The sequence below is a fragment of the Homo sapiens genome, chromosome 2 (assembly GCF_000001405.40).
Source record: "Homo sapiens chromosome 2, GRCh38.p14 Primary Assembly".
NCBI classification, from domain to species: Eukaryota; Metazoa; Chordata; class Mammalia; order Primates; family Hominidae; genus Homo; species Homo sapiens.
In genome coordinates, this window is record NC_000002.12 from 9,608,572 (window position 1) to 9,630,930 (window position 22,359).

At 40.8% G+C, this 22,359-nt stretch overlaps 1 protein-coding gene across 1 annotated transcript in view, besides 3 other annotated features; it reads right to left on the reverse strand.

Annotated features, from left to right (window-relative positions):
* YWHAQ (tyrosine 3-monooxygenase/tryptophan 5-monooxygenase activation protein theta) overlaps positions 1–22,359 on the reverse strand; it is a 47,031-nt gene that overhangs the window by 24,605 nt on the left and 67 nt on the right. The window contains exon 2 of the mRNA NM_006826.4: positions 21,588–21,963. Within this exon, the coding sequence (NP_006817.1) occupies positions 21,588–21,881 (294 nt within the window). The 5' untranslated portion in view covers positions 21,882–21,963. The remainder of the gene's footprint in view (positions 1–21,587; positions 21,964–22,359) is intronic.
* Positions 21,012–21,914: an enhancer, noted in NCBI's record as "H3K27ac hESC enhancer chr2:9769712-9770614 (GRCh37/hg19 assembly coordinates)". NCBI's record gives its function as "activates a minimal SCP1, AML or CMV promoter by ChIP-STARR-seq in naive H9 embryonic stem cells {active_cell/tissue: H9 hESC(naive)}" and the evidence as "EXISTENCE:reporter gene assay evidence [ECO:0000049][PMID:30033119]".
* Positions 21,658–21,757: an enhancer, noted in NCBI's record as "active region_15283". NCBI's record gives its function as "activates an Ori minimal core promoter by ATAC-STARR-seq in GM12878 lymphoblastoid cells {active_cell/tissue: GM12878}" and the evidence as "EXISTENCE:reporter gene assay evidence [ECO:0000049][PMID:35858748]".
* Positions 21,878–22,227: a silencer, noted in NCBI's record as "silent region_11137". NCBI's record gives its function as "represses an Ori minimal core promoter by ATAC-STARR-seq in GM12878 lymphoblastoid cells {active_cell/tissue: GM12878}" and the evidence as "EXISTENCE:reporter gene assay evidence [ECO:0000049][PMID:35858748]".

Genomic DNA, 22,359 nt, shown 5'->3' on the forward strand with positions numbered 1-22,359 from the left:
AATCAAAACTACTGTGTAAACAGAGAGATTCTCACAATCTAAGGTACACACAAGTGCCATAAAAAAAAGCAACATCCACGCTATTAAAAATAACAGGCTGGGTGCGATGGCTCACGCCTGTAATCCCAACATTTTGGGAGGCCGAGGTGGGTGGATCACTTGAGGTCAGGAGTTCGAAACCAGCCTGGCCAACATGGCGAAACCCCGTCCCTACAAAAATTAGCCAGGCGTGTTGGCGGGTGCCTGTAATCCCAGCTACTCAGGAGGCTGAGGCAGGAAGATCACTTGAACCCAGGAGGTACAGGTTTGCAGTGAGCTGAGATTGTACCACTGCACTCCAGCCTGAGCAACAGAGCAAGACTCCAAATCAAACAAACAAACAAACAAACAAACAAAAATAACAAAAATACTCAAGGGACGGATTCTCTATCATGAGGCGTCAGCAGACACAAACAGGATAGTCAGTTCCCAAGAGCTTTAAAACTGTGTATAATAAAACATAAATATGCTGAAAATAATTAAATAATCTTTTAAAGATGTTGAGGCTGGATACATAGGGTTACTACAGGATTTTCTTCACCTCTACCTAAGTTTGAAATTTTTCCTGACTAAAACAATCAAAAAGATTTTAAAAGAAAAACAGAAGCCAGGAGAAATGAACCATATATACAGTGAATTTTAAAAGGCAGCTTGGAGGTGGGAGAAGCGGAAGGGCTTTTAGAATAAAAAAAAATGAAAACAACTTTAAAATTGGAGATGGACAAAGAAAATTAATACAACAAAAGGCATATTTGAATAAATTACTCAGAATACAGAATAAAGAATAAGACAAAAAAAGTGGAAAAATTATAAGATGCGAATAGAAAGAGAAGGTCTAAGGTAATAGCCAACAGCTATTTCAGGAGAGAACAGAAAGAATGAAGATGAGATGTTATTCTGGGATAATGGCCGAGACTTCCAGTAATGGGATAAATACCTTGAGATAGGAAAAGCACAATAAATCCCAAGCAAGATAAAAAAAAATCATACCTAGATCATGGTAAAATTGCAGAATGCCAAAGACAAGAAAATTCTTAAAAGCAACCAGAGAAATGACACATTACCATAAAGGAAGAAACAACAATATGACAGCTGATTTTTCATCAGAAAACAATCAAGTAAGTATCTTCAAAGTGCGGAGAAAAACAACTGTCAACTAGAATTCTGTAACCAATTAAAGCACCACACAAAAACAGTGCAAAAACATAAAGACGTTTCCAGAAAGACAGAAGTTCCCACTCACAGATCATTACTAAAAGAAACTTTTTTAGAGTGGGAAGGAAGAAGTAATGGAATAAAAGAAGTCATCAATTAGAGTATTAACAGTCCAAAATAAGAGTACTGTAAAGGACTGAGTTGGCTATTAAAGCAAAGAAGTATGAAGAGGACACGTGTTTCCCGCATCTCTTTCAGAGGATTATCTTAATTTTGGAGGACAGTTACATGATTTTTTCCCCCTTAATCTACCAAGTGTCTGCCTTTTAAGACCATACTTTCTAAAATCTGACAACTGAAGTATTGATTATTTGCTCCAGAAGAAAATGTTTCACTAGAATAATCAAGGATCCTAAATATTTCAACAGCCCAGTATCTATCTTAAGGTAAATGACAAGACGACATGGGTCCATTTCACTGGTATGATTTAACCAATATCTACATGCTAATAACTCACAAATTTGCTCCTTACCTAGTTGTATCTCAGTTTCTTCATCTGTAAAACAGTTACTGACAGTTCTTAATTCATAGGGTTGTTGTGAAGATTAAATGAGTTAACACAAACTCTGCTTGGTACATAACCCTCAATTGTGTCATACAGCATGACACAAATCTTTCTCTTACATACCATACCAAGTGCCTCCGACATATATTAACATCTGGATGGACCACTGGAACTTTAAACTTTACTCTTTTTTTTGAGACAGAGTTTCATTCTTCTTGCCCAGGCTGGAGTGCAACGGCGCAATCTCGGCTCACTGCAACCTCCACCTCCTGGGTTCAAACGATTCTCCTGCCTCAGCTTTCCAAGTAGCTGGGATTACAGGCATGCGCCACCATGCCCGGCTAATTTTGTATCTTTAATAGAGACGGGGTTTCTCCATGTTGGTCAGGCTGGTCTCGAACTCCCAACCTGAGGTGATCCGTCTGCCTCGGCCTCGGAAAGTGCTGGGGTTACAGGCATGAGCCACCGCACCCTGCCTACTCATTTTTTAAAAATTAAATTTACCTTCCTGACACGATCTACTATTGATTCTGCTCCCCTACTCGATTTTCTGTCTTAGGAAAAGTACTCAGTAGCCCTAGGCAGAAACCTAGGAGTCACCCTACTCTTTCTTTGGACTCATTCTCCCTGCCTTCTATATTTAGTCACCCAAGCCCCTGGAAGTAGTTTTCTCCAGGAAGTCAAGACTGATTTGGAAACTTTTCTCAGACAAGTAAGCATAGTATACTTTGAGAACATATATTTCCCTTCTCTTTAGAGCCACTGAAAGAAAAGATATTTTCTTGTCCGGGTTTGATACATAAGGACACTGAAGGATCCAATGTACAGTCTAAAAAAGTGTGAACCACAATCAGTGCACTAACAAATCTACCCCCTACTGTGGAGACGATGGTCATTCAACATTTGAGCAGCATCCAACTCTTCTCTGTCATACCACACTTACTAAACAATTTAATGATTATGTCTTGATTCCTACGTGAGTCTATCTGCCTCCTGAAAGAGAACATACTAGTCATGTCAACACAGTACTGCAATCTTTGTGCTAGTTATGGCTCACTGTAAATGAATAAGCTAACTTTCCTGGTTTTATGCACCAGTCGCATGAGCTTGATCACTGTGGATCTAGGCTTGAAAGATTGCTCCACCCTGGTATAGCTCACAAAGCTAAAGGCCACACCATGAATTGCAGTAAACTCACAAGAGTAATGCTAACCCTCCCGCTCCATCTTTTGGGAAATACCCCCCAACACATACACACTCCTAACTTCTCTGTAGTGTTACATGGCTTAGTATCCTTACATATTTTGAAATATGTATATCTACTAGATCCCAAACCTGTTTCTATACTCTTTTTTTGAGGCTAGGTCTCACTGTGTCACCCAGAGGCTGGAATGCAGTGGTGCGATGTCAGCTCACTACAACCTCTGCCTCCCGGGTTCAAGCGATTCTCGTGCCTCAGCCACCCGAGTAGCTGGGATTACAGGTGTGCACCACCACGCCCAGCTAATTTTCGTATTTTTAGCAGATGAGGTTTGGCCATGTTGGCCAGGCTGGTCTCAAACTCCTGGGCTCATGTGATCTACCCGCCTTGGCCTCCCAAAGCGCTGGAATTACAGGCGTGAGCCACTGCGCCCATCCCTGTTTCTATACTTACATTACTTATTTCTACCAATTATTCCCTCACCCTCTGATCTCCCAGCCACCTACGTTCATCCACACTACCTCTGAGTTTTCACTCTCCATTTCCCATTCCACCACAAATTGCCAAAGTCCTACTGATTTCACCTTTTCACAGTGTCACAGTATTTTTGAAAATCTATCTTCTCAGTCTCATTCCTATTTCTATTACCCAAGTTAACTGTATCATTTCACCTCAACTGCTCCAATAATCTAACTGATCTACCAGGTTTTTGGGTTCCTCTTTCTCGGATCCAGTTTACACCTTGCTGCCAGATTAATCTTAAATTCCATTGCGGGCACGTTAACTCCTTCTCAAAACCCCCAATGGCCTGTTAAAGGATAAACTTAAAGCCAGACATTGTTCTGCAGACTCAAGGTCCTGCAGAATCAGACCCTAACCTAGAGCTTCCAGGTAATTTAAATGGTAAAGAGATATTGATCCCCTTAGTAACCACCACAGCAGGGTGAGAAATCCATTTTCCTCTGTACTATACAAAGATTGTTATTCTGTGTGCCATTACACAAAAGGAGTTGGGAAGCATTGTCCTGACTGACATCAACCTTATGTCTATTATAACCTTTTCTGGACCAGTAGGAGGAGTGTGGAGCAACAACAAGGTGCCTCCCAAAAACCTAAGTGGCACTCTAAGAAGTAACATATGCAAGTATTCTTCATGTCAGGATGCTAGGAATACAGCAGGTATTGGGAGGAAAGTTTAAAAAGCAACACTAAGTATCTCCAGCACTACTCAAAGATAAAGCCACCCGAGCCCATGAGTACAGTCTTTCAACAGTAAGGCAGCTACACTGAGGCTAGATGCAGCACTATTAGAGTGACTGGTCATGAAGGTCATCCAACTACAGCCTCTTGTTGATTTCTGTGTTCACCACTCAATCTTCTAGTGGTAATTTGGGTCCTCCTGTACATTTACCAACAAACAATAAACATGGCTCGATCATGTCTCTTTGCCTGACTTAATCCTTGCAGCTCCTCTCTCAACAGACCAACAAATTAGACATAGAGCCAACAGGATGAGGGAGGGACAAACCCTCAACCATGAATGTACACTATTTTACTCGTCTAGCACCCTACTACCTCTTCCTTATCCTGATAAGAAGAGGGAAAATCCTTCAAAAATATTTTTTTTAAAAAGTGTTATTGGGCCTTCATATGGAGCACTCATTAATGTGAATTTGCTTTTCTGGATGAAAAAGGATTAACATCAGTATTTGTGCAGACTAAAAATCACATCACATAAAAAGTTTTCAAACTTTTGAGATTTAAGTCTAAAAGGAACAAAAAAGGCATAAAACCCAACATTAACTGGAATATTTGCCAAATTAATGTCATGAATTAAACAATAAGTTGTCATGATGTCAGAGAATATGGGCTCCTCACACTCAGTGGGATATGTGCCACTGTAGTTATAGTGAAAGCAAATACAAGCCTAAGGGTAGGCTTATGCAATCAAGTGGTTTATTATTTTTGTGGGCTAAAGAAAATAAGGAGCTAAAACCCACAGGATAAACAGGCAAAAGAGAAAGGGAAGCAGCAGATGAAGAGAATCCAAGACTCTAAATACAAAGAGAAGCAGCATTATCTCCATGACCCAAATATTTCTCGACATCTTTTCCCAGTCCATCTGATCTCTAGCCACCACCATCCCACAACCCAGGCAAAATTACATACAGTAATATTGCTATCAACATCTGCTATAGCACAGTGGTGTCTTACAGGGAAAGGGACAGCCTTTTTGTGAGCACAGTATTACCTTGCCCCTGCCCCAAACAATTAACCACGTAAAAAAAATAAAGATGTAGTTGAGGAAAAATGTTCACCCTGTCTTCCAACTCAGGTACTGAGGTGCTGTGACTGCAGTGGTGAAGATACCTAACAGAAAGATGGTAGCCTCTGACAAGTCATGAGGCAATAAAGTAAGGGTATGGGTGAGCTGCAATGTGACAGTATTAGAGAAAATCAGAGTGTTTGTTCCTTCACTTCATCCAATGCAGCCTAACCAATTCCAGATGCTATTAGCAATAAACATAATGTCCAGTCTCTGGGCTCCTATGCTATATCCCCACATTTTAGAAGCTGGATACTGAGTGGCCATAACCGCAATATAAAATGTTCTACCTTCTGCTCCAAGATTCCCAGGATATTCAGGTTTGGAAGAAAAGTTTAATACTTCCACTGGTGACACATACTACATTCCAAATCTGTCAATCTGCATTAAAAACAATTACACATACATCACCATCATTTAACAACATTTCCAGGACAGTGCTACAAAAAGAATCAAGGCAAATAAACGCCAAAGTCTATACACACTTTCTTCCCCTTAGAGAATTTACAATTTACTAGCATCCACAAGCTGTTTTAGCTACTGATTTGGGAAAGGCATCTGTTTTTTAGCCATTAATTTGTGGAGGAAAAGGACAAATCATAAAGAAGAAACAAAGAACTTTCCTTAAAATGGGGGGCAAAAGTCAAATCTTGGTCTGGTCATAAAGTAATCAAAATGGACAGACATCCTGATACCTAATAAAAGGATGTTGCATTAAACAAAAATAGGTCAAAATTGCCTTGCTAGCTTAGTATATATGGGTCAAGTTTTGCTATATCCTAAGAAGACTACTAAAGATAGAAAATGGTTTATACTAGCAAGGACACAAGTATACTTTGATTTGAGCTTTGCCTAAGTCTATGGCAAACTGAATTAAGCCACTACTACGTTATAGAAATTACGTCATTATTTGCAGGCTAACTTTTCCATTTATAACTAACACATGCCATATACATTTATCTCTGCAGCTGAAGTATATACAACCCCTTCCTGCCTCTAGTCTATCAGCTCTGTTATGGGGTACAAAGGGAAGAATAGAGTCAACAGGAATTTAAGAGCCTATGGTTAAGAAAATTATTTCGCATTTACAACTAAACTTATATGAGTTACTGATCATATTCAAATGAACCCCCAGGGACAACATAAAAACCCTGGACATGAAGTAGTGTTTAACAGTACATAGAGGAAAAAATAAAGATGAAGTCCTTATTCTTATGTCCTTACAGCTTACCAATACTGATCTGAATTGGGCATAATTTACTTTGCTAGCAGTCACAAGAGCAACTTAGGAAACCGGTAAACTCCAGACAATATAGAACTGAACTGGATCTCATTACCAAACTTGGTGAAAAAGAAGACACTATATAAACATAATCACATATTATTACAGAGGGTAAAAAATTAGAGCAGGCTGGTCCGAAGGTAAGGAGTTATCTTGATTGTTCATTCAGTTACCAAATCAAACTCCTTGTTCTACTCTTCCCCCTTTCTCACTACTGCACTTGACTAGTCTTAAAAAGAATTTTTTTCAATTCAGAAAATAATAAAAAGAAAAAAAAAAAAAGAACTAGAGCAAAGGTAAGAAAGTGGGCAATATAGGAAAGAACCACAGGTAGTTTCATGTGGTTGGAGGACAGAGGGAACAATGAGTGAGAAAAGAGGCTGAAGAAAAATGCTGGAAGGTCTCAGAGGTCCTCTTAGGGAACCCAAACTCCATGTTACATGGTAATGATTGAGTGAAGAAGCAGTAATTATTCCTTCCCCAAGTCTTTATGAGCAATACCAGTATATATTAAAACAGATAAAAGGGAGCACACTGGTTGAAGGGCATATATATTTAAAGCCTAGATTCTTCCCCACTTACACACAAGGGAATTCAGAGAAAGGAGAGATGATCTCAGAAGAACAGGGTCCTGTAAAGGAGGGCTCTACAATGAAAGGCAGTAGGAGAACTCAAAGAACACGATTCTAGAAAAGGGGAATTTGAGTTTCACAGCTAACTAGCTGTGGAACTGAGTAAATTAACATGCCTCAATTTCCTTACAATTTCCTTACTCATGTCTTATCTACCCATAACTGCACACTGGATGGTGCTAGGTAACAGAATTGAAAAGTATTAACAAGCTATAATTTGTAACTATAGAACGTAATAGTACCCAAATTGCATTTCGTAGGATGGGTGTGATTTCAGCGTGCAGAAAGGGAGAGGGAATACATTACAGTAGAGTAATGGAAACAAAATACAGCGCTGTCAACTTGGCTAGAACACAGGAACCACAGAAATCATGAGTTTTCCTTATACCCAATTAGATCTGATTATATTTTCTATAAGTGTGAGAATTTCAGATCAAGGATAAATGAATTGTTATTTCAACAAATGGTGCCAGGGCAATTGGATATCCACATGCAAAAGAATAAAATTGGACCTTTTCCTCACTCCATATGCAAAAAGGAACTCAAAATGGACTAAAGACCTAAACACAGGAGCTAAAATGATAAAACTTAGAAGAAATCATAAGTATATATCTTCATGACCTTGGACTAGGCAATGGTTTCTTAGATCTTATACCAAAAACATAAGCAACCAAAAAAAAAAAAAAAGGACTTCAAAATTAACAATGTTTCTGCTTCAAAGGACACTAACAAGACAATCCACAGAACGGGAGAAAAACATTTGCAAATCATCTATCTGATAAAGGTCTAGTATCCATAATATATTTAAAAAAAAAAAAGATTACAACCCAATGATAAAAACACAAATAACCCAATTTTAAAACAAGCAAAGGATCTGAACAGACATTTCTCCAAAGAGCATATACTAAAGGCCAATAAGTACATGATACCATTTCATATCCACCAGGATTGGTGAGGATGTAGAGAAACTGGAACTCTCTTACACTGTGGTGGGAATGTAAGATAGTACAGCCACTTCGGAAAACAATCTGGCAGTTCCTAAAACATTAAATGGGTATATACACAAGAGAAATGAAAACATGCCCAAGCAAATTCTCACAGCAGCATTATTCTTAACAGCCTAAAGGTAGAAGCAACCCAAATATGTCCATCGATGGACAAAAGATTTTTAAAAAGTAGTACTTTGTTTTGTTTTGTTTTGTATTTGGAGACAGAGTCTTACTCTGTTGCCCAGGCTGGAGTGCAGTGGAGTGATCTCGGCTCACTGCAAGCTCCGCCTCCTGGGTTCACGCCATTCTCCTGCCTCAGCCTCCCGAGTAGCTGGGACTACAGGTGCCTGCCACTACGCCCGGCTAATTTTTTTTTTTTTTTTAGTAGAGACGGGGTTTCACCATGTTAGCCAAGATGGTCTCCATCTCCTGACCTCGTGATCCGCCCGCCTCGGCCTCCCAAAGTGCTGTGATTACAGGTGTGAGCCACCACGTCCGTCCAAAAAAAGTAGTATTTCTATACAGTGTAATATTATTCAGCCACAAAAAGAAGCACAAAATTCTGATACATGTTTCAACATAAACATTATGCAAAATGAAATAAGCTAGACACAAAAAGACAACTATTCTATAATTCCACTTATATGAGGTACCTAGAGTAGTCAAATTCATAGAAAGTAGAATGGTGGTTGCCAGCGGGGAATGGAGAGCTTCTGTTTAATGGGTATAGAGTTTCAGTTTTGCAAGATGAAGAGTTGCAGACGATGGTTGCTGGTTGCATTGCACGACAAAATGAATGTACTTAATACCACTGAACTGTAGCTTAAGAAGGGTTAAAACGCTAACTTTTATGTTACGTGTTATCTTACCACACTATAAGAGTTTTATTTAAAAAAGGTTAGGTGTGGTGGCTCACACTTGTAATTCCAGCACTCTGGGAGGCCATGCAGGAGGATCATCTGGCCCAGGAGTTTGAGACCAGCGTGGACAACAAAGTGAGACCCCATCTCTAAAAAATCAGCTGAGGGTGGTGGTGCACATCTGTAATCCCAGCTATTTGGGAGGCTGAAGTAGGAGGATCCCTTGAGCCCAGGAGTTTGAGGATGCAGTGAGTCATGACCGTGCCATTGTACTCCAGCTTGGGTGACAGAGTGAGACCCTCTGCCAAAAAAAAAAAAAAGTTCTGATGCAAGCTACAACACAAATAAACCTTGAGGGCATTAGGCTAAGTGAAAGAAGCCAGACACAAAACACTACATATTATATGATTCTGTTTATATGAAATGTCCAGAAGAGGCAAATCTATAGGGATAGAAAGCAGATTAGTAGTTGTCAGGAGCTGAGGTAAGGGAAGATAGTGAATGACTATTAATGGATATAGAATTTGTGGTAATGAAAACGTTCTGGAATTAATAATGATGGCTGCACAACTTTGTGAATAAACTAAAAACCACAGAATCATATTTAAAAAGGTAAAATTTATGGTATTTGAATTATATTTAATTTTAAAATATATGTAAACTGACACTCCAAGTTTTTACATAAGGACAACAAAAAACAAGATAGCTTCTCTAACAAGGATAGTATCTGCAACTAAGCCAAATTATTTTGTAAACATTTCTTTGAAACTTAAGGAAAGGAGATAAGTTTCCTTAGAGAAATTAATTCTAAAGAGGGAAATTATTTGTGTAGCAATCATCACTATGACTTTTCAATATATGTGCCTATACTCTTTAGAGTTGTCTTTGTTTCATTTTCTTTTTTGAGACAGAGACTAGGTCTGTCACCCAGGCTTGAGTGAAGTGGCAGGAAGACGGATCACTGCAGCCTAAACCTCCTGGGCTTAAGAGACCCTCTTGCCTCAACCGCCAGTTAGCTCACAGGCACATACCACATCCCCAGCCACTGTTTTGATTTTTTTTTTTTTTTTTGGTAGAGACAGGGTCTCACACTTTGTTGCCAGGGCTGGTCTCGAATTCCTGGACTCAAGCAATCCTCCCGTGTTAGCCTCCCAAATTGCTAGGGTTATAGGTGTGAGCCACCCTGCCCAGCCTATGTTTATTTCAGATGTTCAAAACAACAAACAAAAATAACACACTAGAAAAAATGATCAGAGAATACGTGTTAAATGAGAAATAGTTCAGGGCTTTTATAAATTTGTGACCTCCACCCTTCCCCTTAGTCCTTTTTCTCCATAAACTCTAATTACAAATTCTACTACCACAGCAAAAAAGAGGAATACATCCTTCTGAAAAAATAATATTTGAGAATCTATACTAATAATCTTAGTAGGTCCTTTAAAGACTCAACAGACGTGGGGGCTAAATATGTTGCTTTGGTATCCTGATATAAACTTAAAAGAAAACTACAGTAGTTTCATCAATAGCTAAAATAAGTTTATAAACATTTACCAGGCCATTTTGATTACAAGCAGAAATGTTCAGAAACCTGTCCTGGACAAAAAATAAATCACTAAGTGCTTTTTGGTATCTGTATAAGAAGGATCACCTTCCAGAGATGTACAGCTGATCGTCAACAACAAAATAGAGGTATACAACCTTAAATCCTACCTGCTGAGTTATTCAAACTGCATCAGTGTACACTGTACTATTTAAAACAGCAAGAAATAAGGCATGAAAAACCCTAACAATAAATACAGTAATACCAAAAAAAGGTATTAAATGTTTAAATGTTATATGTGCACTTCAGCCCAGGAGGCAGAGGTTGCAGTGAACTGAGATCGTGCCACTACATTCCAGCCTGGGAGACAGAGGGAGACCTTGTCTCACCAAAAAAAAACATACACAAAAAAACAAAGAGTTACATGTAAAAAAATTAAAAATATATTAAAAATTTAATTATGTAAAAAGTAACTTCCACAGAGCATAGCTATATTTAATGGGATATTCTATCCTTCCAAATGGTGGTCTCTGCAATCAGGCACCAAATAATCAAGAGTATTTTAAATCCGTAATGTAACCTTTCCAACCTCTTATCCATCAGAATCCCAAGAGGGCAAACACTAGCACTGAAGATCTAAAAAGTATATTCCCAAATGACTGGAAACAGTACCAGGCTGAAAGATCAGAACACCTAGTATAAATATGTTTAACTGCAGAGGTTTAACAACTGTAGCTTTTAAGAGCAAAAATCCTGTGAGCTGCATTCAAGTAATGTTTGGTGGAATGTACAAAACAAGAGGGAAAATGGAGTACTAATTATTGAAGAACAACAGCAGTAAGAGTTATTCAGGAATAAAATGTCTAATCTGATGATCCATATAGCTTATGGCTTTAAAGCATTTTCACACACTTCTCCATTTATTTCCTCCAATCACCGCGACATGACGTTCACAATCTATGACCATCCTTTAAGAAAGCATTTAAATTTATGTAAGTTCTTATCATCATGGTCTCACCACTTGCACCATTATTTTTCCATTTCTCTAAGTAAAGCCTGTAGCAAAGGTACAGGAGACAGAATGTTCAAATGAAGAGTATCGTACAGAATATGTATTTAGTACCACACTGTGCCAAACCCAACTGGATACTGTAGTAAAAATCCAGATGACAAAGAGATCATGAAATACTACTCATCTGGATAGAAAAACATGTAAACTGACAATCAAAGGTTGGTATGAAGACAAGTTTCACTGATAAATACTTTGACCAATGCTGGTTAACAGCTAACCTGACTTACTGCCTCCAAAAGCTGTGTATTTTTAAAACTTAAATGCAACCAGCTCTGAAAGACCATTATCCATATTTTTCATGGATGTCAACTCTGCTTTTTGGTCAGGTATTGGGAGGGGCAAGTTAAGAGATTATTAACTTCATATTATCCTTCTCAACACAAGAAAGCAGAAAGACATTCCAACATACCAGATCTTTAGCTGGTTTCCAGGAATTAACAGGGACTTTTATTACCCAATGTCTAATATCAACTATTCTCCTTTCTTCATTATCACATCTGTGATTTTCCTGGTCTTCAAACCTATATTCCTAGGGATAAGATGGGGTGCAGGGGCAGAGAAATGGGAAGGGTGGGGAAGGTTTTACAAATTCCATTATCACCACATATGATGACTACTCAGAAAATAAACTGCTCAATCACCCAAACACAGTAATAAAATTCTCGTAGAACAGCAGTTCTACTATTAACTTCAGTAATTAAATTCTCATAGGGCAAAGTATAGTCTGGGAACCCCTAGAGGTCTCCCCTATATCCTTTGTGGGGTGGAGAGGAGACAAAGTAAAACCACTTTCATAAGTCTAAGATATTTGCTTTTTTTCCACTGTCATTTTCTCACAAGTGGAGTTTTCCAGAAGCTACAGGAGGTGGAATACTACAATAGGTTGAATGAAATGCAATGCCGCTATTCTCATTCAATTTTTTGTTAAAGTTATTTTATTTTCTAAAAAGGGGTCCTGAGATCAAATTTGTGAACCACTGTCCCAGAGTATGGCCAATTAAGACGTCTTACACAGCATCTGGTAACTCCATCAATCTACTTAGCACTCATCACCCAAACAAAAAAGTGATGGTGCCAGTGATGTCTCCTAAGTGGGGATCAATACCGTTCTATACATTCTCGTATCTTGAGGATAACAAGACACAGGCTACACACTATCTTCTTGCTATATGTATTAAAGACACTCAACCAGTGATGTGAAATATCATAACCCCCAATACATGGCAACCAACAATTACAGTGAACACCCCCACATATCCACCACCTGGATCTTACCATTAACCTTTTGCCATACTTGCTTTTTCAGATACCCATACATTTCTAGCAGTTACAAGCTGAAGACATAAGTACAGGCATATCACTAGTTTTTTTTCAAAGCAAAATTTACATACAAAATGCACAAATCTTGGGTGTACATTTGCTGAGTTTTGACAAATGTATAAAACCCAAACCCATATCAACTAAAGAATACAATTATCCATTCTACTATAAAGACACATGCACACATACGTTTATTGCAGCACTATTCACAATAGCAAAGACTTGGAACCAACCCAAATGCCCATCAACGATAAACTGGATCAAGAAAATGTGGCATATATACACCATGGAATACTATGCAACCATAAAAAGGATGAGTTCATGTCCTTTGCAAGGACATAGATGAAGCTGGAAACCATCATTCTCAGCAAACTAACACAGGAACAGAAAACCAAGCACCGCATGTTTTCACTTACAAGTGGGAGTTGAACAATGAGAACACATGGACACAAGGAGGGGAACATCACACAGCGGGGACTGTCAGGGCGTCGGGGGCTAGGGGAGGAATAGCATTGGAGAAATACCTAATGTAGATGACGGGCTGATGGGTGCAGCAAACCACCATGGCACATGTATACCTATGAAAGAAACCTGCACGTCCTGCACTTGTATCCCAGAACTTAAAGTATTAAAAAAAAAAAAAAATACAATTATCCCAGAAGCCTGCCCCTTCCCAATCTCTGCCTATTCTCCCACAGAGGCCATTATTCCTGATTTTTTTTCCTACCATAAACAGGTTGTGTTTGTTCTAAAATTTCATATAAATGGAATCACATACACTATGTACTTTTTCATGCAAAGTTTCTTTCACCTAGCATGTTTTTGAAATTCAATCATATTGTAGTATCAGTGGTCCATTCATTTTAATGCTGAATAGTATTCCATTTATGAATACATCAGTGTTTATCAATTTTCCTACTAGTGGATTATTTCTAGTTTTCTGCTCTTAGAATAAAGCTGTTATTAACATTTTTGTACCTATGCGCCTTGGCCCCATGCATCATTCCCTCTTGCGTAAACACCTAAGAGTGGAATTTCTAGGGGAGGAAAAACTTATAATAGGGAATTTTAAAGGTACACAGGAGAACAAAGAATAGTACAATGAATTCCAATTAAAGCCAGCTGCAACTATATTAATTCATAGACACTCCTGTTTCATCTGTATTCCCCCAATTACTCTGAAGTCCTAGGTATTATCATCATTTTGTCTTTAAATACTCAATATGCAAACAATAGTTTCAAATCTAGTAATTTATCATATTTATCACTGACTTATCTATGGATTAAGAGTTTAATTAAAGTAGCAATGGATAAACTTTGCTTCTCTTCACATCTTTTAAATGATGTCTCTCTACCACCTCCCTGATATCCAGAAAGTCAGTGGTATGAATTCAGATACGTTTTCTGTTGCCATTTGGAAAGGATTAGTGTTAAATACAAAAACTGGTCTTAATGATAAAAATAGAGAACATTACCATAGCCAACCAGATTTCCCAACTGCCAAAGCAACACCTTGACTGAACTAATCCCATGCTATGGTATCATGTTCTAAATGAAACTACATGAGACTTAAAAATACTAGTTTTCTTAAGCAGTCCTTTGTGAGAAGGGAGGTGGTCCTCATACATCCAATACTGAACAAGGAGATAAGACGTTAAACCTTCTGGTCACCAGATTTTTGTTAGCCTTAAAAACTTGCTTGTGCTGGAAAGGGTTAGGGGAAATGAATGACCTTCTCAACCACTGCTGATGACAGTGTATACACATACCTTTTCAGAAGGCTATCTGGAAAAAACCGCACATCTTTTGATTTGGAAATTCCACTTCGAGAACTTAAGTAAATCCTAGCATAAAGCATGCAACAACGATCTTCTTCCCAGGGGTTGTTTGGAGAAAAATTGTTGACAGTGTTCACCACTGCATTAAAAGTCTGAACCACGGCCGGGTGCAGTGGCTCACGCCTATAATCCCAGCACTTTGGGAAGCCGAGGCGGGAGGATCACCTGAGGTCGGGAGTTTGAGACCAACCTGACCAACACGGAGAAACCTCGTCTCTACTAAAAATACAAAATTAGCCGGGTGTGGTGGTGCATGCCTGTAATCCCAACTACTTGTGAGGCTGACACAGGAGAATTGCTTGAACCCGGAGGCAGAGGTTGAGGTGAACCAAGATTGCGCCACTGCACTCTAGCCTGGGCAACAAGAGCAAAACTCTGTCTCAACAAAATAAATAAATAAATAAATAAAATTAAATTTAAAAAGTCTGAACCACATATGCCAAGCTACTATGAAGGAGGGGAGGAGATTTGCCGTTCATCAATTTTCACTGCATCTAATAGATTTCAATATAATTGCAGTCTGTGCGAAGTCTTTAAAAGAGCTCAGGGCTTTGGAGACAACTATGAAGAAGTGGCACTTTGAAAATATAGGACCCGGCCAGACACAGTGGTTCACGCCTGTAATCTCAGCACTCTGGGTGGATTGCTTGAGCTCAGGAGTTCAAGACCAGCCTGGGCAACATGGCAAAACTTCATCTCTACAAAAAATACAAAAATTAGCCAGGCATAGTGGCAAGTGCCTGTAGTCCCAGCTACTCCGGATGCTGAGGTGGGAGGATGGCTCGAGCCCGGGAGGTGGAGGTTGCAGTGAGCCCAGATGGCGCAACTGCACTCCAGCCTAGGCCACAGAGCCAGACTCTGTCTCAAAAATAAAAACAAATCAAATCAAACCAAACAAAAAATAGGACCCACTGAATAAGTTTCAGTAAGGTGAACTGTAGAGTTTGAACAGCATACACACAATAATGACAAGGGGAAAAATGACAAGTCTAGCTAGACAAGAGGTTCAGGTAAGATATCAACACGTTAGGAAGAAGCCAAAGGACAGCATGACACAATCCAATACAACTTAATACAGCTCATTTTATTTATGGACTAATCCAAGGCATCTCAACCTTGGCATTATTGGCATGGGGGGGGCTGGGGTCTTCGTTGGGGAGTGTCCTGTGCACCGCATGATGTTTAGTAGCATTCAGGCCTCTCTACCCACTAGACGTGAGCAGCACCTTCCTTCCTCAAGTCTTAACCCAAAAGGTCTCCAGATGTTGCCAAAATTCCGCTGGGGGCAGTGGGGAGTGGGTAAAATCACCTGGTTGAGTGACACGAACCTAACCTTAAACTTACAATATTCTATTTCACTCTTTTTTTTTTTTGAGACAAGAGTTTCGCTCTGTCGCCTAGGCTGGAGTGCAATGGCACAATCTCGCCTCACTGCAACCTCTGTCTCCCCGATTGTAGCAATTTGCCTCAGCCTCCCAAGTAACTGGGATTACAGGTGCCCGCCACTACGCCAGGCTAATTTTTTGTATTTTTAGTAGAGATGGGGTTTTATCATGTTGCCTAGGCTGGTCTCGAACTCCTGACCTCAGGTGATCCACCTGCCTCGGCCTCCCAAAGTGCCAGGATTACAGGCGTGAGCCACCATGCCCAGCCCATTTCATTCTTTAAAAAACAACAACAAAAACCTTGGCTGGGGCACATCTCTACCAAAAATACAAAAAATTAGCCAGGCATGGTGGTGCATGCCTGTAATCCCAGCTACTCGGGAGGCTGAGGCAGGAGAATTGCTTAAACCCGGGAGACAGAGGTTGCAGTGAGCTGAGATGGCGCCACTGTACCCCAGCCTGGGTGGCAGAGCAAGACTCCATCACAAAAAAAAAAAAAACCCAAACCCCCCAAAACTCTTGCCTTTAAGCAGCCTACAATCTAAGGGCAAAACCCACAACGTCAATGAGTTTTTAAATCTTATTACACTATTGTGTGTATAAGAAAGTCTTCAATATTACAGACTAGGAGTTTTGCCCATCACAGGTCTACCTTCCTCGTTAGAAGCATTAATGTCTTATATTTATTAAAATGCACAAATTCCTCAAAACAGAAATTCACACCATGGTCTTAAGTGAGCTGCCATGTACTTAGGGCCTACTGTGTTTCATGTCATAAGCAGTTACACCACTTGGGTTAAAATCCTTGCTCTTAACACTTACTAGCTTTGTAATCTTGACCACATTACTAACTTCTTTATGCCTCATTTTCCTCAACTCTGAAACAGAGATACTATCAACCTACCTTAGGGGAGCAAAGTGAGTATAAAGTGCTTAAAATAGTGTTTAGTGTGCAGTGAATACCTGGTAAATGTTAATTATGAGCCATTATTCTAACTACAAGCCCATAAAGGCAGGCACCATCATCAATTTACAGAAGAGAGAGAGTCTGAGGGATTAAGAAATTTGCCAGAGTCCACGAAAATAAAAGGTAATGGAGCAACGATTCAAAAATTGATTCAGAGCCCATACTTTTTCCACTGTGTCAATAAAATCACATTCAGATTCATTAACTATGAAGAAAAACATATCAGTCTTACTAAAAAATAATGAGCAGCGTAAGACATTTTTTATTGAGATTAAATTTAAACACAACTAAATTCAAGCATACTACTCAATTAAGGTTACAAAGCTTTTACACTAAGACAGACAACTTCCAGAGATTCCCTACATACTATTTTAACTCTCATTTTTAAAAATTGCGATATGCACTTTAGTTTCTGAAATTGTTTATGCATTATGCTGAAGTAATTTACTGAAATTCTACTAGAACTGATGTACAGGAGAGGATAATATGATGTCTAAGATAGAAATTATCTTGTATACACTCAAACTGCCTGGTTCTTATTCCAAGGTCACTGACTTTGTAAATGACAGATTTTGTTCCCAAGTCCCAGAAGAGCTTTGTGAACCCCTCTAACTTTTTCCATTTGCCCTTCCCTCACATCCAAGTTCTTCTTAATGACTCCTAAACATCTTACCTGTAATATTTAAGCCCAGGGTTTTGTTTTTGTTTTCAGAGTCTCGCTCTGTGGCCCAGGCTGGAGTGCAGTGGCACATCTCGGCTCACTGCAACCTTCGCCTCCCAGATTCAGGTGATTCTCCTGCCTCGGCCTCCCGAGTAGCTGGAACTACAGGCATGTGCCACCACGCCTGGCTAATTTTTTTGTATTTTTAGTAGAGACGGGGTTTCACCATGTTGGCCAGGCTAGTCTCCAACTCCTGACCTCAGGTGATCCACCAGCCTTGGCCTCCCAATGTGCTGGGATTACAGGCATGAGCCACCACATCCAGCCAAAGCCCAGTTTTTTTGTGTCTAAATTTTGCTCTTGCCAACACTCAGTAAGATCACCAATGACTTCTGCCTCACTTCTTTCTGAAGCCATTTCCCTAAAGTCACCAGTTTTCAACCTGTCATGTATTCTTCAATCTGGACTTTAAAAACTACTCATTTAAGAGGTGGAAGGATGTCAGAGCAGAGCAGAATGGCTAGGACCTGCATTACTCTACAGCCCCAAACCATGAGAACTCGAAGAGACTTAGAAAGTTAAGCCCAAAGTCTTCGGTTTTACAATGACACTGAGAGACAGCTCTAACTGGATGAAATCTTAACTCCCCTCATCTTAGAGAGTTTGGTTCACTTATAGTTCTTTACTCTTGGATTTTAACATTTTTTTGTGCTTCCACGGTTCAGTAACCTCTTTCAATACCGTGATTATCAAAAGGGTTGAGAGTTGTTCACACAGTTATTTTGAATACATGGTTTAAGTAATTCTGCCCCAACCTACTCTATGAAAGGGAGGAGGCTGAGAATATCTGCTCTTTTCTACCAAAAATTTAGCTATCCTTCATGTTACTTTAACTAGTCTTCTATAATTACCAAGTTAGTCTCACCTCCTCCACACCAAATCTTTCTTCCTGTTCACCAAAGGAAAAAAAGAAAACCCTATGTTAGCACGCATGTTCAAAAACTTTAGGTGTTACTCTACTTTCCTAGACTCCTTATTAAATTACTAACTCATCAATTATCACTTGTCTTATAACTTCCTTATCTGTCAGTTCAGATCACAGACTGGTTAGTCAGCCCTCAAACCACGAATTCTAGATGCTGCTACATGTACAGTGGTGCTGACATCTGTAATCCCAGGACTCTGGGAGGCCAAGTCATGAGGACTGCTTGAGGCCAGAAGTTCAAGACCAGCCTGGGTGTAACAAGATCCCATCTCTACAATAAATAAATAAAACTTTAAAAAAACCAGTTTCCCATGAACCAAATGAAGAAACCCCCCTTACTCCAATCTTCTATAAATGATGATGGCTGCCTTCCTTTCCAGGCTTGTCTCCTGCAGCAACTCTGCACATGAACTCTGCTCCAGCCACACCGACACACTGTTCCCCGAACAAGCCCTACCCCGGATATTCCTTTAATACTGACACCTCCGCCAGCCTCTTCCCTCAACGTTCACCCCAAAAAAACGGTATCTTTGTGAAGCCTTTTCAAAGGTTTCTATTTCCTTCAGACTACATAGCATTGTGTTCATTAACCATCTGATGGGAATATTGTGGTATTTATGTTTGTGTATCTCTCACATGCTCTCTAAATTATAAATCATCAGAGGGCAAAATCCACGGTTCTGTTTTGTTCCTCCCCATATTGCTCAGAGCACAGTGCCTGGCACACAGAAAGCTCTCAATACAGTTGCCAACTTGAAGAAGTGCTTTCCCAAGATATTTTTTATAGGTTGGCCACCAAGCCCCAGTTAGCCTCTTAAGCCATTTTATGAATATTTCATTTATGCCTTGGTGTCTCGGATTCATCAAACTAAACTATTCTATGTCTTCTCAGTATATAAAAGAGACTGTCCTAAATTCAGGGGTTGTCCCCATTGAAATGGTCTGTATGAAAGTTCTATTCTAATAACACCTGGTCTCTCTCTCAAGCTACGTATCAACTAAGCAAAACTCTTCCCCGACTTACGCCATCATAAAAAGCAGAATTTATAAGAGCCACAAAATAAAACGAATATTCCTTTGGCTCAGAGTCACCTTGCTCGAGAACAAGAAAAATCACGCGGTGATTCTGAATTGCTTCAAGGTAACTAATTGAAAAGCAATAAACTGAACAGAAATGAAATATGCTGTAAGAGTATCCAAAATACATACATAGAAAACCTTAACATATGGAATTCTTATGAGTCTTCCCTTGGTAACAGATAATGCTGTTAACAGCCATTACCATATGTTACTCAAGTTGAAGTCTACCACTACTTTCAAGTTGGCAAAATTTTTTAATACGAGCAATTCAGTCCAAAAAGCTTTTACAAGTGCTTCTTCAATGCCAAGCAGGGACTGGAAGCTAAGAGCACACGGAAGAATACAACGAAGTTTTGACTTCATAAAGTAAATAATCTTAAGTTTTCTCCACTTTAGTACACACTGTCTGCATTACTTTCTTTGCCTCTTTACCAGTTATTTCCATCAGCCATGATTTTGTCCGGATCGCCTGTCATCGTATTAGAAAAATAGATAGGTTAAAAAAGTTTCGTGGATTTTTTTTTTTTAAACAAGGGGTGGGGAACATATTCCCTGCCCCACCATTCTGATGAGATGAAGAAAGGCGGCTTGGGGGGTGGGGGTGGGGGAGGAGGCCAGGGAGAAATTATTTCTTCCATTCCCTTTTGAAAAATCCCCAGTCTAGTATGCTTGTCTATCAAAGCCCACCTAAAATATGATGTGCACAAACACATCAAAAATAAGTAGGCCTCTTGTAAAAGTGACACTTAAAAGGCAAACCATATGAGATTATTTCCCATTTTATTCATAGAAATGACTCTTGGCAGCACTGAAACATTTAAAAACACTCCTGGATATAATGCTGGTATTTCAGTTTTAAAAACTTATCCTACGGATCAAAAGATCCATGGAATGACAAAGCTAAAAATGTTCTCTCTCACTAATAAGGGTGAATCACAGCAGCCACCTACTCCACCCAACAATCGTCCTTGCTAAGACTGGACAGTTCAAAACCTGGAAAGCTTTCCTTGTCTGCTCCACACTGGAAACGAATTCACTTCAACACTAGTGTTTAAGCACAGGTGTGCAACAGCAAGGAAATGTTATTAAATGTTGAAATTTACCAGGACATTGTGTTCTTCAGATACAGCTGTGTCCTTTTCACATTTCCCGAACTCCCCTCCTCTCCTGTTTATGGGGGGTGGGGGGGAGCACAACAGATACTCTTACTTGAAAAATAAAGTATCTGTTCAGATTTTCTAAGTAAATTTCCATTACTGGGTTTGGGAAAAAATCCCTACTACATTGTCTGTAACAAAAAGGTGCCTGCGCCTTCTTTCAACTGCCTGAAGCTTGTGAACCGACTGAATACATTTAAAGGGCTCACAGATCTCAGGACGCAGTCTCCCCGCACAAGAAACTTAAAAACGCCTTTCAGTCTCGCAGAGACCTACTTGGATGTTTCCAAGTTCCATCGTTTGGTAGCTACCCAGCATCTGGGGCGAAAAAAAAGGACTTATCCTTGGAAAAGCGGCTTCTTGAGTCTCAACAACCGGAGGGACACAGTAGGGAAGTCAGGGCTCACCTAAAACCCTCCACCCCAGCAGACAGTCCGGCAAGCCCCGGCTCACGTTTGTTTCCGTGCCCGCGAAACTCTCAATGAAAAGCATCTCACAAAAGGCCTCCCCTGCTCCCCGCGCCGAGGACTCACCAGCACCGTGGTGCAGATGGATCTCAGCTCGGACTCCACTTTCTCCCGATAGTCCTTAATCAGCTGCAACTTCTTGTCGGAGGTGTCGGTCTTCTGCTCGATGCTAGAGATGACCCTCCAGGCGGACCTGCGGCCCCCGACCACGTTCTTGTAGGCCACGGAGAGCAGGTTGCGCTCCTCGTTGGACAGCTCGGCGCCCTGCTCGGTCACTGCCTTCATGCAGGTGGCCATGTCGTCGTAGCGCTCGGCCTGCTCGGCCAGCTTGGCCTTCTGGATCAGCTCAGTCTTCTCCATGGCGGGCGCGGGGCCGGGGCCGGGGCGGAGGGCGAGGAGAGCGAGGGCGAGCGCCGACCCGCAGCGGGAGGAGCCTCGAGAGCTGCGGAGGGGCGGGGCGGCGAGGCGAGAACAAAAAGCAGAGAGGGAGCGCCGTCAGACAATGCGGCCCGCCGCCCGCTTTTGTCTCCCGCACACGCGGCCGCTTGAATTTCCCTCTCCCCCGCCCCCTCCCCCGCTGGGCACCCGGGGAGGCCGCGGCCCGCGGCTGGAGGAGGCGGGGGCGGCGCGGAGGCCCCGCGCGCAGGGAGCCCGAGCCGCGGCCGCTCCCGCCACCCCCGCCCGGCCGGCCCAAGATGGAAGCGACCGTTGGCCCCGCACCTTCCCGCCCGGAGCCGTCCCTGAGGGGAGCGGCATCGACAACCGGCTGCTCTCAAGGGCGGCACCTCCGCCCGGCCCTCAATCCGAGCGCGGCCGGAGGAAGCCCGCGGGCCGACCC